Source organism: Homo sapiens, chromosome 7 (assembly GCF_000001405.40).
Source record: "Homo sapiens chromosome 7, GRCh38.p14 Primary Assembly".
In the NCBI taxonomy this organism is placed as follows: domain Eukaryota; kingdom Metazoa; phylum Chordata; class Mammalia; order Primates; family Hominidae; genus Homo; species Homo sapiens.
The window spans coordinates 53,376,902-53,393,393 of NC_000007.14; the positions used below are offsets into that span (position 1 = coordinate 53,376,902).

The 16,492-nt window shown below is 40.3% G+C and overlaps 1 long non-coding RNA gene across 4 annotated transcripts in view, besides 1 other annotated feature; it reads right to left on the minus strand.

Annotated features, from left to right (window-relative positions):
- LOC105375282 (uncharacterized) overlaps positions 1–16,492 on the minus strand; it is a 70,883-nt gene that overhangs the window by 28,878 nt on the left and 25,513 nt on the right. For 3 of the 4 annotated variants that reach the window (XR_927269.3, XR_927268.3, XR_927267.3), the window contains one exon: positions 3,626–3,840. This is a non-coding gene — a long non-coding RNA (uncharacterized LOC105375282). Of the gene's footprint in view, positions 1–885; positions 3,841–16,492 lie in introns of those variants that run through there. The other variant, XR_927266.3, reaches the window with a different exon arrangement.
- Positions 8,140–8,640: an enhancer, noted in NCBI's record as "H3K27ac-H3K4me1 hESC enhancer chr7:53452734-53453234 (GRCh37/hg19 assembly coordinates)". NCBI's record gives its function as "activates a minimal SCP1, AML or CMV promoter by ChIP-STARR-seq in naive H9 embryonic stem cells {active_cell/tissue: H9 hESC(naive)}" and the evidence as "EXISTENCE:reporter gene assay evidence [ECO:0000049][PMID:30033119]".

Genomic DNA, 16,492 nt, shown 5'->3' on the forward strand with positions numbered 1-16,492 from the left:
CTTTGAAACTGCTGAGGAACGAATGAGCCATCACAACAGCCCAGGCAAGGTGCTGCCACATCAGCAGACACAGCATCAGCTGGACAAAAGGAATCACGACATTAAAATTGTAACACAGGCAGGCAATTCCTAATTTCCTTTTTCTAAAAACAAATGATTTTTGAGCTAATACTTACACTACTCACATATTGTTGTTTAAATATTATAGATTCTGCTTCTGGCCCGGGGGCTGGTAATCCCTCAGCTTAGTACTTCTAATTAATACCACATTCTGATTGCTGACAACAGGTTACCCAGTCTGGGTCATAACTATAAAGCCATCCCGGGAACCACCAGGAATGAGTCACATTTTGGCTTCTTTTGTTTATTTTCTGGTTAGTGAAATATCTTGTATTATATAACTGACATGCTACATAAGTGTGCCTCTGTGTGTGTGTGTGTGTGTGTGTGTGTGTGTGTGTGTGTATGTACAGTTAGCCATTTATCCTAAATTTAGGCACATTAGACATGCCATCTAGGAGTAATGGTGATTATTTTTATTTAATTCTGCCTCAGAGCCCCAGCATGCTGAGTGAACACAGTAGTCACAGACCTTAACCCACCTAGAGTCAATCTACCTCGAAGATCAGTTCTGAGTATCTCCTAGAACACATTTCTAACTGGAAGATCCGAGGAGCATAGCAGCTACATTAAAAGAAAGAAGACTCTGGTGTGCTTTCCATAATTGTATATATAAAATGCCTGCTCCCATTATTTTCCTTGTCATCCACCTTGTTCACTCTACAATTCTAAGTTCCATTGCTCCCATGGTGGAGAAGTGGTGTTTCAGTGCAATCGTTAGGATATTGCTCACCATTTAACCAACAAAGCCCAAAACACAGTGGCTTAGTACAATGGAAGTTTATTTCTTTCTTATGAAAAGTATAAAACTGTCATTTCAAAGTAGTGTAAAGTTCTCCATTAAAGGATACCCATAACATCTGGTGGCTCCACTACTTTCCACATAAGGTTTGTGAGGTTGTGCAGTGGTCCTGCATCAGGATGCAGCAGGAGAAAGAGCTGAGACAGGAGGAGATGAGCCAGTTGATGGGGTGGCTTCAAAGGCAGCATCTATCATCCCACTGAATTCCATTGGTCAGAACTCACTGCAGGTCTGAGAACTGTAGTTCCTATATGTATTCAGCTATGAATTGAAGTGGGATGGGCATTTTTCCACAATGGTTAGGATAATTTTCACCGCAAATACTTTTCTACATTTTTATAAAGTTGACCGGCACCTGTGTTATTAGCCATAACAAATGGCCATCAATTTTCCCCAGTTTGATAATCAGCACAGCTAGACTCTGTAGAAAGATCTCTTTGCTGTTAAGTGACCACAAATGACTAAATTCACATTGAACTGCACCAGCAGGAGAGGGCTAGCCCTGAATGTGTCAAAGTAGACACTCTCCATATACCTCAGGTTTTATTATCTGCCTGAAGTTAGCATACTGGTTTCCCCAGGAAAGCCTTTAACCATGAATAAATGAGATCCTATGGAGTTTACCATACACAGCAGAAATACTACCCTGACTCCATAATCACTGCACTGAAAAAAAAAATTAAATGCTCGTCTGTATCTCCTTTATCTGCACTTATATCCCCAATAAGATAAAGTCAAAAAAATCACCCTTGAAATGACCCATTACCCAAGAGAAGATAAAAGCAACATATGAAGTAAGATCTAGAATTAGGATTGGACTAGGAACTTTGAAGTTTCCAATAAAGGGGCTCAGTATGTTGCAGAATTGGAGTTGACATTTTCTAAGAAAATTGCATATAAACCTAATCAAGGGAGAACCACAAAGTTAGTAATCCACAAGAAAAGAGGTAAAACTTAGAATAATATATACTGGTGCCTATGGAGGTCTCCACAGACGCATCTCTAGAGATGTATATCTTATGTTTGATATATGAAGCTAAGTTTAGCCAATTTAGGTGCATAATAACCTACGCCAAACTAGAATTCATTCTAATCAAACTTTTCCAAGAGATTACGCCTTGAATGATGCTGGAGGCAGTGGAGAAGGATGTAAACAGAACTGTCGGTATCATTAAGTGCCCTTGGTATCCTGGGTAAAGTGCGTTCACTGAGTAGCCCATGTCCCCACGTCAGCCTTGGCGCTGAGGTGGCAAACGTGTCCCCAGATCACAATCTTGTCAGAGCTTCCTCGCATTCCTCTAGCAGAGGTGTGAGTGAGAGGCAGAGCCTCTAAGAGAACTGAGACCCACCCAGGGACTGGAAAACGTCACATCCTTTTTTCTAACAAGCCAGAATAGCCCCTGACCACTGTCTTTGCATGTGTGAAAAAATATTTTGGTACACTACACATAAAAAGTTGAAAAGTTTCCTGAACGCACTGTACCAATGTTCTTGTCTCTCACCCTGTGCTTTTGGGACAAGTGAGAGGAAGAGTCAGTAGGGTTACAAGGAAGCCTCTTCTCTTCCTGCTACCATGCCTGGACTCACAGATCTCCCCCATTTCCAAACCAGCCCCCAAATAATCTAGATTTTAAATAAAAATATTAAGTCGGCTCTGTAGCTGTCTGACCGAGGTAAAATTTCTCCAGGGTGATTCAAGAGCTCCTCTATCATTCCCTGAGCCTCCACCCTGACAGCGCCTTTTGTGACAATGGCACACCTCTGCCTCAAGTTTTCAGGCGAGTCATGTGTGATCTTTATCTGAGCCAGAAGACCTGGTACCTGGGCCGACTCTGGGATGGTTGTAGAGACGCACAGCCAGTGCAGGGCTCCCGAGCCTCAGGCCTGTATCAAACTTTCTTCTCCTGTCCTGGCCCCAACCCAGCAGGAGTCCACATGCCCTGGACTGCTTGTGCTGTAGGGATCATTTTGAGCTTCATTTCTACAAGCTGGCTTCTTCGCATGAGGATGCGAGGCTTCCTTCCTTTTGCCTCCCTTCCTTCCCTCAATCTAAGACTGGAATCTCTACGTTAAATCCCAGCGACACCCCCAGCTTCTTGAAGGAGAGACGTTATTGAAGGAGATTTCCTTCCTGGATCATGAAAAGCTGTCCTTTGGACCCTCCTCTGCGGGTCTGGGGACTCTGGCTGCCTCATACTCACCCCGTTCAGTGTCCTGAGTTCTGCCTGCTTGACTGAACACCCCTGGCTCTCTCAACCTGATCTAGTCCCTTTTCCTGCACACTTTCTCTTGTTGGAAATAACAAGAAAATACTAATTATAAGACAAATTCAAGGTATAATTATTAAACATTTGAATGAACATAAATTAATTGTGAAATTTTGTCAGTTTCAAAAAAAAAACATAATAACACAGAAAACTAAGACCGTGTTTCTAGAAGTAAAAAGCTCTCAGAGTAGAAATGAATAAAGAAATGAGATTTTTCTAATCATTTTTTTCCTATCAGCAGGAATAAGTACTCATATAGGCCCTATCAAGAGCTACCTGGCTTTCTCCAAAACACACTCTGCTGTCCTTGGTGCATTTCATAGCTATGTCCCTGGACCAGCAGTCCGAATTCTCTGTCTGGCAGTAATCCTGGCATTCTGCTAGTGGAGGCAGGTGCAATTTAGAACATTGTCATCATGATAAATACTAAACATACCACTTAAGAAGAAGATTTTTTAGAATTCTTTGTTTTTGTGACCTTTTAGTTACAGCAAGAGGCAAATTATGGCTGGGTGTGGTGGTGCGTGCCTGTAGTCCCAGCTACTCCAGAGGCTGAGGCAGGAGGATCGCTTGAGTGGGGGAGGTTGAGGTTGAAATAAGCCATGATCACACCACGGCACTCAGCATGGGTGGCAAATCTGGAGACCTTGTCTAGAAAACAAAAGAAAAGGAGTCAAATTAGATGAAATGTCTGATGTATTTAATATACCCTAGATTATTTTTGTAGGTTCTTACTTTTGTAGGTCCTTTAACTGCCACTGTGAATTAGAACGAAGATGCACATCTATTTTCCTATAGAATAAATGGAATTAGTGCCTGCAAAAGAATGATGTAGAGATGACATTTTGGTCCTTCCTAATAAATAATTGTCCAAGTGGAACTTAGACTTTGACCAATCAAATAATAAAAGGGACAATTGCCTAATTCATCTGCGTAGGCATTATGGAATTGTTGTGGAACAGACATTGTCTGTCTGTGTGAAGCCTCCTGCTCACTCGTTGAAATACTTCTATAAAAGCGATATGCGGCTGGGCACGGTGGCTCATGCCTGCAATCCCAGCACTTTGGGAGGCTGAGGCGAGCAGATCATGAGTTCAAGAGATCGAGACCATCCTGGCCAACATGATGAAATCCCATCTCTACTAAAAAATACAAAAATTAACCAGGCGTGGTGGCACACGCCTGTAGTCCCAGTTACTCAGGAGGCTGAGGCAGGAGAAGTGCTTGAACCCAGGTGGCGGAGGCTTCAGTGAGCTGAGATCTCGCCACTGCACTCAAGCCTAGGTGACAGAGCGAGACTCTGTCTCAAAAAAGAAAAAAAAAAGCAATATGCTCAGGAAATCTGACAAAGACCAACACTCTTCAAAGAGTCCCTGCTCCTAGATTTCCATCAGCCTGCTGCTGTCACTGCTTCCTGTTCTCATAACTGGAATTCAGCACGGGGAATGCCAACACCACTTGCAGGAAAAAACTGTGTCCTTTTTCCCTCAGCTTCTGCACTGAAAAGTTGGTTTACGTTAGATAAGGAACTGGAACTTCTCAGTGCTTTATATCTTTATTTGTCAGATGAAAGTATTCATCTTTGCCATTTGCATTACAAGGTATGACATATAAATGAAATTTTAATATTGGCACTTTAAGATTTTCCCCATGGGACTAAAGTCTCTGCTAGCAATTCTTTGTCACCTTTTCTTACATCTAAAACTGAATATTAATTACTTCAAAAATGGCTATAAAATTGTTAGAACTCCTTAAATAATGCAATATATATGTACTACTATATCTTTATAATCCATTTCATCAATAGAATTATTAAATATTCCCAGCACTCTAATAGTCAGATCACAGAAAATATTCAGTTTGAATTTGATGTGCCATTGCTACTCCCCTGATATGTGTGTGCTCTGGATTTTTAAGTTCATTTTCTTTTCTTTCCTTTTTTTTTTTTTTTTTGAGACAGAGTCTCGCTCTGTCACCCAGGCTGGAGTGGAATGGTGCAATCTCAGCTCACTGCAACCTCCACCTCCCAGGTTCAAGTGATACTCCTGTCTCAGCCTCCTCAGTAGCTGGGATTACAGGTGCCCACCACCACGCCTGGCCAATTTTTTGTATTTTTAGTAGAGACAGGATGTCACTATGTTGGTCAGGTTGGTCTCGAACTCCTGACCTCATGATCCACCTGCCTTGGCCTCCCAAAGTGCTGGGATTACAGGCGTGAGCCACCACGCCCGGACTTAAATTCATTTTCGCTTTTGTCAAAGGAATCAGTGTTCAGGGCGAGACTATATGAAAGCACATACAAGCACACAGAGCACATGGAGCGTGCTTTGAGTCCAGGCCCACAGGTTTAGCTTTACCCTTGTTCTCATTCACCGAGCCTGTTTCACATGGCCTCTTTCCAGAATTAAGCCAGTGCATTGCTCTTCCAATGAGTTGTTGGACTGTGAACAACGTTTTGTGAACTCTTAACAGGCTCCAAGGCTGGTTCATTTCACTGTGAACCAGTGAACACTGAAATGAACACGAAACACCAGTGAACACAAAAGAAAGTGAACACTGGCACAATGTTCACTTTCTTTCAGCCAAAATAGGATTCTTGTCTTTCCCGTCTCAAGGAACGGAAGAGTCTCTCCACAGCTTTTACAGTCTGAGTAAAAGCCTTGGTTCCCCACTTGAAACTCAAAATCAGCCAATTTCTGAACATGTTAATTGAATTAGTCAAGGATTAGCTTCTAGAGAAACAGAACGAATATAATAATAATTATGTATATAATTGATTCACATAACTAAATATATATCACATGTATAATATATATTCCACAAAATACAAATATGGAGTATATATATTATTTTAAGGAAATGGCTCATGCATTGACTTGTGTGATTATGTGGCCTGGCAAGTAAACAAATATATTTATAATTTAATTGTGCTAATTGCTATGGGGAAAAATAACAGACTGTTATGAGAAAGAAAAATGATGTTAGAGGAAAAAAGGTGAATGAGCTTTTTCCTTGGTAGACTAAAATACCTCTTTAAAAATACTTCCTGACTTACAAATGAGAACAACTCAACTGTGCAGAGAATGGGAAAAAAAAATACTTCCAGGGATACTTTTGTACCTGAAAGTCCTAAGGTAATAAAGAGCTTGGAGTGTTCAAGGAATGAAAAGAAGGTAATGTGTTCCGATGAAAGAGGAGAGGGAATCCACTGCCTGGTGAATACACAGGATGTGGTGACGTGAGCGGTGAGAGATAGGAAAGGAATGGCAAGAGGCATCCAGAATTAGTACTGGTTGGATGTCAGCCTTGCCTGCTGAAATTAGGAAGAAAAGAATAGGTTTGTAGGGCTTTGGCAGGACAAGATTGGAATATCAGGTCTCATCTTTCTTTAGCTGTTAGATATTCAAGTACAATGATCAGGGAGGCAATTAGACATAGGGCTTTGGATCTCAGAAGAGAAGTCTACACTGGAGACACTCTGGGAGTAGCATAGATACCATGATAATAGGAGGAACTCAATCCCTCAACTGGAGACAGTATGAGCGTGGGCTCCCTCTGCGGGGCCTATCAGTACTATGGGGAAATTGCAGCTACTATCAATCACTTCTCATTAAAGACTTTGAAACATAATTTTAATACCCTAAAATCATTCCAGTTATAGATCTATTGATTTCATTTTGAAAATGAGACGATTAGAGGTCAGCAAGGTCTGGGGTCAAATAAATAAATTTGGGAAAATTAAATCAAGTCGTGAAGATGCTCTATTTATATTTAGAAACCAATAATATTTAAAACTTGAGTGAATTATGGAGTACTATGTGCCAAAAGAGCTGTAGATCTCCATTTCACTGAGCCCCATAGTTTTCTTAAAAATACATCAAAATTATCATTTACAAAATAACTTTTTAAAGAACGGTTTCCAACATTTGTGGATTTTTTAAAACCTTTAAATTGAAGTTTAATGTAAATACAGAAAAGTCACATATCATTATATATCTCAACATACCAGTAGTATTCTTGATGAATTTTTTCAAACTGAATTTATATAACCAGCAGCAAGTCAAGAAACAAGACATGCCTAGCAACTTGGAAGCTTTCTTCTTTATGCCCCCAGTCACCACAGCTCACCAAGAGCACCCATTAACCTGCTATCTGAGAACAGAGATCAGTTTTGCCTCAAACATTTGTTTTTGGTGTATGTATAAAAACATACTTATTTTAGTAAACATAAGTATTCACAGTTAAACACTAAGAAAATAATTAATAGCCCTAGCAAGTAGAATAAATATTACTCTTCCAACCCTATTGGTTTATAATTTTCATCTATGAGAAGCTTGTTAGACTAAGACTAAAAAAAAACACAAAAATATTAATAATTGATTAAAAAACAAAAACAAAAATCTTGTTCCTGTGACGAACCTTGTCACACAAATTACAGTGGTGAATATTAACTATAAGAACTACTGATGTGAAAATTTTTGGAAATTATTACATTATTTATGTTTATCTTTCTAATTGTTTTTAAATGAAAAATAGTACAGTGGTCATTTTTTTCAATAATGGAATATACATTATGATATTCTCTCTGGGATGTATATAATTCATATGAAGCTGGCATTCCTCAAAGATCTAAAATGAGATTGTTGCGTTTACAATCCCTGAGCTAGATACAAAGGTTCTCCACGTCCCCATCAGATTAGTTAGATACAGAGTTTCGACACACAGGTTCTCCAAGGCCCCACCAGAGCAGCTAGATACAGAGTGTCGATTGGTGCACTCACAAACCTTGAGCTAAACACAGGGTGCTGATTGGTGTATTTACAATCCCTGAGCTAGACATAAAGGTTCTCCACGGCCCCACCAGAGCAGCTAGATACAGAGTGTCGATTGGTGCACTCACAAACCCTGAGCTAGACACAAGGTGCTGATTGGTGTGTTTACAATCCCTGAGCTAGATATAAAGACTCTCCATGTCCCCACCAGACTCAGGAGCCCAGCTGGCTTCACCTAGTGGATCCCGCACCAGGGCTGCAGGTGGAGCTGCCTGCCAGTCCCGCGCTGTGCACTCGCATTCCTCAGCCCTTGGGTGGTCGATGGGACTGGGCTCCTTGGAGCAGGGGGTGGTGCTCGTCGGGGAGGCTCCGGCTGCACAGGAGCCCATGGAGGGGGTGGGAGGCTCAGGCATGGCGCGCTGCAGGTCCCGAGACCTGCCCCGCAGGAAGGCAGCTAAGGCTTGGTGAGAAATCGAGCACAGCACCGGTGGGCTGGCACTGCTGGAGGACCCAGTACACCCTCCGCAGCCACTGGCCCTGGTGCTAAGTCCCTCATTGCCCCGGGGCCAGCAGGGCTGGCCGGCTGCTCCGAGTGCGGGGCCCGCCAAGCCCACACCCGCTGGGAACTCCAACTGGCCCGCAAATGCTGCACGCAGCCCCGGTTCCCGCTGGTGCCTCTCCCTCCACACCTCCCTGCAAGCTGAGAGACTGGGCTCCAGCCTTGGCCAGTCCAGAAAGGGGCTCCCACAGTGCAGCGGTGGGCCGAAGGGCTCCTCAAGTGCCGCCAAAGTGGGAGCCCAGGCAGAGGAGGCACAGAGAGCGAGCAAGGGCTGTGAGGACTGCCAGCATGCTGTCACCTCTCAGCATGACCTTCATCAGCCTTTCCTTGTGGGCCCGTCAGAGGCGTTGGAACCAAAGCAACTCCATCTTAAATAGAGGCTGGGTAAAATAAGCCTGAAATCTACTGGGCTGCATTCCCAGATGGTTAGGCATTCTAAGTCATAGGATGAGATAGGAGGTTGGCACAAGATACAGGTCATAAAGACCCTGCTGATAAAACAGGTAGCAGGAAAGAAGCCGGCAAAAACCCACCAAAACCAAGATGACTATGAGAGTGACCTCTGGTCATTCTCACTGCTACACTCCCACCAGCGCCATCACAGTTTACAAATGCCATGGCAAAGTTCGGAAGTTAACTTATGTGGTCTAAAAGGGGGAGGCATAAATAACCCAGCTCTTATTTAGCATATAATCAAGAAATAACCATAGAAATGGGCAACCAGGGAGTAGCCATTCTTTTATTCGTTTACTTTACTTTCTTAACAAACTTGCTTTCACTTTACTCCATGGACTTGCCCTGAATTCTTTCCTGTGCGAGATTCAAGAACCCTGTCTTGGGGTCTGGATCTGGACCCCTTTCCGGTAACAAGCAGGGGCCCCTTTCCCATCTTTGCACACAATTCCATGTTCATAATTCATCTTCTACTCAAGAGGACCTCCAAAATAGCAGACTTTGTGGGCCCTGCTAGAACTAGGCTCCCCTGTGACTGGCTTGCTTGCCAAGACGCCCTTCACTGCTCTGATTAGGGTGCCCACTTCTTCCCTGCTCCAGCCCTGTGGTCTGACTGGGCCATGAATCAGACCCAGACTGGGGCTGACCTTTCTGCCCCACCCCAAAATACACACTTCTCAAATGTACCTAGAATATACAAGTCCCTCCCTGTCTGAATGTGGTCCCGGAGAGGAAAGGGACAGGTCTCTGGTGGAGCAGCGAAGGCACGATGGAGCCATTGGGTCTGATAAAAGAAAAACTTCAACCGAATTAAATTTGAAGGAGTTTAATTGAGCAATGAACAATTTTTGAATCAGGCAGCCCCCAGAATCACAGCAGATTCACAGAGACTTCAGGGGTGCCTCGTGACCGGAACAAATTTATAGACAAAAAAGTAAAGTGGCATATAAGAATCAGAAATGAGGTACAGAAACAGTGAGACTGGTCACAGCTCTGCAGTGGCCTTATTTGAAGGCAGTTTGAACATTCAGCAGTCTATGAGTGGTTGAAGTATGGCCGCTGGGATTGGCCAACACTCAGCCACTGTTACAGGTGCATATACTACTAAGTTAGGTTTTCAACTTTGTCTGACTATTAAGCTAGGTTACAGTTCATCCACAAGGACTCAAATAATAGAAGTACGGAGTCCTTTTCAGGCCATATTTAGTTGGCTTTAACAGGTCCTACTGACTGGTTGCATTCAACCTCTAACATTTCGTCATCCCCAAGACCAGCTTCTCTGCGTCCTTTCCATCAATGTTATTGTCCAAGTTCCAATGCCCAGCGGCACCATTTGTCATCATAACAAGGATTGGAATCAGAATCGTATGGCTGATAGGAAGCCATCAGCAGAAACCTTGTAATATTCAACTCCTATTTCTTCTGAATTTAAGATATCGATATGTATAGCAGCATTGATTTTCCTCTGGCTGAGTGAGGCCAAATTGCCCACATTTCTATTTCTACATTTTCCCATTAATAAACCTGCAGAACATTTAAAGTTCATGCAAATATTCTAAGTGACCATATGGATACAGAGAGTCATTCCTTTTCCATGTTTCACTGGCTTAATATTCACAACTGGAGGGAATGAAATCATAGCACATTAATAGAAAACATGGAAACAGTTATGTACAGTGTTACTCAGAAAATCTTAGTGAGTAGTCAAATCGACACCGAGAGCTATCTGCAAAACCGCCTCCACCTGCGGAGCCTGGCTCCTGGCTGGAAACCTATGCATGGTGTCTGGGCCTGCCCTTGGTCAACGGAAGCCTCACCTGCTGGCCTCATCCGCATGGCCTCACCTGCGTGGCCTCAACTGCCGGCCTCGCCTGAGGCACCTGGGCACCTGGCTCAGTGCAAGCCAGCATCACCGTCTGAAGGAAGCTGCAGTCAAGGCCTCCGGACCAGGCTGGCTGTGGTCTTTGCACATTTACATTCCCAACCCTTCATTTCTAAGGCTTTTTAGCTGAGATTTTGGACAAAAGTCTTCTTCGAGTTCCTCTGCTGAGTCCTCCTTTTGCCACAAGGATGGAGAAAAATTGGAGACGCTTTTCCCACTCTGAGCCCTCCCCCAGCAATTTCCATTCTTAACCCTCTTCCCTCACCCTTCTCCTTTATTCCAGGGCCCAAAAAACTGCAGGAACCTTTTGTTTGGGGCTCCCTTGATGGTGAGAAGACGGCCACATCTGTGCAGAGCTGCCTGACCCTGGACTAGGACTCCACTCCATGGGAAGCGGGGAGCAAGGAGTCACTGCTTCTTCGGCTCGAGTTCTGGCTTCCTGGGCCCATGGAGGGAGGAAAGGTGTGCCTATGTTTGTCCTGTTGCTGTAACTGACCACCTGCCCCTGCGGGCTCAGCCCTCTCCAGTTCAGCGAATCCTAACACCACCAAGCTGTCCTTTCTCTTCTGATAACTTGGCTATTCCAAAGACGTCGTTTATCAAAATTATGGACTTGCCCAGGTGTAAATTAGTAGGAAAGCAAGAGTCTAGGTTTACTTCTAATCTATTTGTTTTATAAAACTCGTAGTCTTTTTTTAAGTTCAAAGTACCCTAAACTATTTTTTCCTGGTAAATATAATCTCTTGAACATCTAAATTTTCTCTCAGAAGGGAAACCTAAGTGAAGTCATTAAATGGAAATAAAACAAAAAAGAGAGTTCCAGGGAATATAAATAAATTAATTAAAAATGATTATTCTGGCTTTAAAGAAATGATTCCTCTGACAAAGTTCATTTAAATTAATACTATTGTTATTAATGAGGTCGTTTATTCATAAAATAAATATGCTGAAAATAAAAACATAACATTTTGTGTAGTCAAATTTGAACAATACAAATAAAACAATGAAATTTGAAGTATTACTTTCATTTGTGGCCAAGGAAAGGATTGACAATTTATTGGTAATATAATGCTTCAGTTAATTTTATACAAACGGGATAGCCTGGAGATTAAAAGCCAGGACTCAAAAATCAAAGTGCCTCTGTACAAGTCCCAGCTCTGCCCTGTCCTAGCTACGTGAGTTGGAGTCCTCCTACAGCCCACCCCATCTCTCTGTCTAGAGCACAAAGTCATTCCGCTTTCCTGTTCAGGTGCTTATGAGCAATAGGTTAGTTACAGTTTATGCAAGTGCTGAAATCATTTGTTTAATAAATTAACTACTTTATTTGGAGCAAAACCTTTTTGTCTTTCTGTACAGAGATGGGATTCAGGACGGGCTACTCCAAAATATGATACCTTGGCATTTGAGAAAACAGCAAAAGCAAGAAGATCACTCTCAGCCTTCCCTCACCCTTTCTTCCCTGAAGCAGATCTTAAAGCCTAAATTCCAGGGTTGCTCTCCCTGTAGCTGGAGGGAAGGAATGAGTCTGAACAAACAGGTCTTGCTAAGTTCCCCCAATTTGTTGCCATCAGATCCTGCCTTTTTATCCAATCATACTACTCTATGACTTCTTAATCAAACCTAGCATGAAAAATATACAGGTTTGTTCATTTTTTGAGTCTTTCTTTCTGAAGGTTCTGTTTCATCTAAAACATATCAAATAAACATGCATGCTTTTGTCTTGTGAATCTGTCTTTTGTTATAGGTGTGTCTGCCATGAATCTTGAGGTGGGTGAGGAATAAAGATACCTCATGACAGAAACATGCTTGAGTCTAGTTTTCTGGTATTTTGTGTTCTCCAGAGGAGACATTGGGTGCTCCAAAGTCAAGTTCACGCAACTGCATGGATTACTCTGATGACTTCAACTTTTGTTTATGCAAATATTTACAATTTATGTTTGATGTCCTATTCTTTTTTTTTTTTTTTGAGATGGAGTCTCACTCTGTCGCCCAGGCGGGAGCACAGTGGTGCAATCTCAGCTCACTACAACCTCTGCTTCCTGGGTTCAAGCAATTCTCCTGCCTCAGCCTCCTGAGTAGCTGGGGTTACAGGCGTATGCCACCACACCCAGCTAATTTTTGTATTTTTAGTAGAGACGGGGTTTCACTATGTTTGCCAAGCCAGTCTTGAACTCCTAACCTCAGTTGATCTGCCTGCCTAGTCTTCCCAAAGTGCTGGGATTACAGGCTCAAACCACCACAACCAGCCTGAGGTCCTATTATTGACTGTAGTTTATGTGTTAATGTATATAATACATGATCTTGTATTTCTAAACGATTTCACCTTCTTTGTGAGTGAAAAGGGGTGCTTTTAATCATACTTCACTGGGATAACTGGTACAACTCAGATTATTTACAGGTGTTTTTATTTGGCCCACGCTGTCTTTCCGTTTAAGTATGACACTTGTTCTTTGATGTATTTTCCTTTTGGGTTGACATGCATGCTATGGCAGACGCTGTCAGTGTCTTCCCTATATGCCCTCGTTGTGTACCTCCTTTGCCAGTAGGGCACACACACAGCCAACACCTGTAATCCTGCTTGATCTTTTTCTTTCTGCAGAAACACCTAAAAAATAAGTTTTATACCCATTCGAAGTCACTCTCCACTCTCACTGTTTCCCCAACCCCGGATATCCACTAATCTACTTTTTGGCTTCATGGATTTGACTATTCTGGACATTTTATATAAATGGAATCATACAACATATGGCCTTATTTGTCTGTTTTCTTTTTTAACTTAACAATGTTTTCAAGGTTCATCCATGGTGTAGAAAGCACTGGGACTTTATTTCTTATGGCTCCATATTATTCCTTAATGTTTCTGAGGTATACCACATTTTGTTTATCTGTTTATAAATTGATAAGACATTTTGGTTAGGCTTTCTGCTGTTTGGCTATTATTAATAATGCTACAACACACACACACACACACACACACACACATATATATATGTTTTTGCACAAACATATTTTTAATTCTTTTCAGTGTATAACTAGGGGGTGGAATTTTAAATCCTATGGATAGGTTTATCTTTTTGATGAACTGCGAAACTGTTTTCCATAGTTGCTAAACTATTTTGGATTTTTTACCAGTAACGCATGTGCATTTCAGTTTCTTCATATCTATTATATATATTTATCTATTTGTAAATATTTTCTCCCATACCATGGGTTGTCTTTTTATGTTCCTGGTAGTACTCTTTGATGGAATAAAGATTTTAATTTAGATAAAATTCAATTTATGTGTTTATTCGTTGGTCACTTGTGGTTCTATTGTCATATCTAAGAAATCTTTGCTTAGTCCAAGGTCACAAAGATTTATAGTTATATGTTCTAAAGCTTTATAGTTTTAGCTTGTACATTTAGGTCTTTGATTGACTTTGAATTAATTTTTGAATATGATGTAAAGTAGGAGTCCAAATCTATTTTTTTTACATGTAGATATTTATTTGTCCCGACAGCATTTGTGGAAAAGATGATTCTTTCCTCACTGAATGTACTTGGTAACCTCAAAATCACACATGTAAGCGTTTATCTCTGGGATCTATTCTATTTCATTGTTTTGCGTATCTATTCCTATATGACTATCACAGTGTATTTATTACTGTAGCTTTGTAGTAAATTTTGATATTAGGAATTGTGAGTTCTCCAACTGTGTTCTTTATTTTTTCAATATTGCTTGGATTATTTTGGGCCCCTTACTTTTCCACATGGATTTAAGGAACAGCTTATCCATTTCTGCAAAATGGCAGTTAGAATTTTGCTAGAAATTGCATTGAATCTGGGGAGTATTATCATGTTAACAAGATTATCTTCCAATCCATGAACATAGGTGCCTTTCCATTTATTTAGATTGTCTTTGATTTCCTTCAACAGTGTTTTATAGTTTTGATAAGATTCATATTTATTCAGTTAAATGTATTCCTAAGTATTATGTTCTTTTTGTTACTATTTTAAATGGAGTTTATTTTCTTAACTTCATTTAAGGTTGTTCATTGCTATTGTATAGAAACACAACTAATTTTTATATTGGCCTAGTATCTTACAACTTTAATGGATTCATCTATTAGCTGTAGGAGTTGAGAGTTTAGAGTTATGTACTCTTTCTCTACTAATTTTAATCTGGTCTAATCTGTCAGTGATCTAAACAATCACACAATAAAGAGATATATTTAGTTTAGTTTATATTTCTGGGCCTATTTATTAATATTTTAGTTAACTTTTGCCGAGGGCCTTCCCTACTTCTTTTGCTTCTGATCTTTACATTGAATATTTTTTCCTGTTCTGAGTTCATCCTCAGGAAAAAATAATTGATACAAATCTTTGCTAAACCCATTTATGCCTAGTGTTGCATTATTGGAACGCTAAGCCTGTGGGAGTTATTTTTATCCTACCGTTGAAGGTCATTGCCAAGGTCTCAACAAAAAAATTCAAAAAATTGTAACCTCAGGCATAAATGGCTTAATAGGAAAATAATCCTCATTGGCATGAATGATTGGGCCTATTCTCAACCTGACATGATTCTTTTCAGTTGGTCACCAAATATGACCATTTTTTGTCATTGAAACAATTCATCAAGTTTTACCAACTTGGTTAGTTCATTCACTGAATAAAGTTTGAAATTAAGATTTGGATTTTTCATAAGGGTATTGGTAAAGGAGGCTGTAATGACTTTTTAAATTATATGTATATATATACATTCTTATACTTATTTTATCTGATGTGCATAAATGTCTTAACACCTACTAACATTGAACTTACTATTAACTGAAGAACATTGAACAGAAATGTAAGTAGCTTTAAATATTAATTGTATTTTCCAATTATTTATTCACAGTCTCCATTTTGATTCCACTATTTTTCTTTTTAAACTAAATGATCTAAAAGAGCTTAAATTTTAATGAAATATATAAATGAATGAGTTATTTAGTAAGATTTTGTCAATAATATGCCTTTCACATATTAATTTTGCTTTGATTAATATAGTAATAATAAATCATCAAATAGCACTTAATTTTACATATTGTCTTCCCAAGCATTGTTTTATTTAATTTTCTCAAAGTTTTGCAAAATAAATATTACACTAATTTTAAATGTATAAAATAAAGGTCTCAAAAGATGATTATTTTTTAAATCACATAGACTAAATCTTTTTTTTTCCATATGTGCTTTATTTTGCAACGTACAAACACAGGCTCGCACAGGAACTGTGGAATAAGAGTTGAACATCACATAAAGAGACAAACTTTCAAGCTTTTCTCTTGAGAAAAAAAAGGAACTGTTATTTATTGACAATATACGATACAGTGGCAAACTTGTTCTACTTATGCATTGAGTGAACGTTCACTAATACCATGTGGTATAAATATAAATGTACATTTGCAAAGATAAGGCATAAATTACTTGTTCAAAAGGTATAAGAGTGAGAAAGACCAGGAATGGGAATTTAAAATAATATGGGCTTGCCGTCAAAGCCTGGTTTTTGTTTTTTATTGTATCAGGAATGGCACATAAGAATTGAAAATCCTAATTATACCATAGTTCTTTTCTAGAAACCACTGCATTTTGAAGATCACTATTTGCCAGAGACTAGCATAA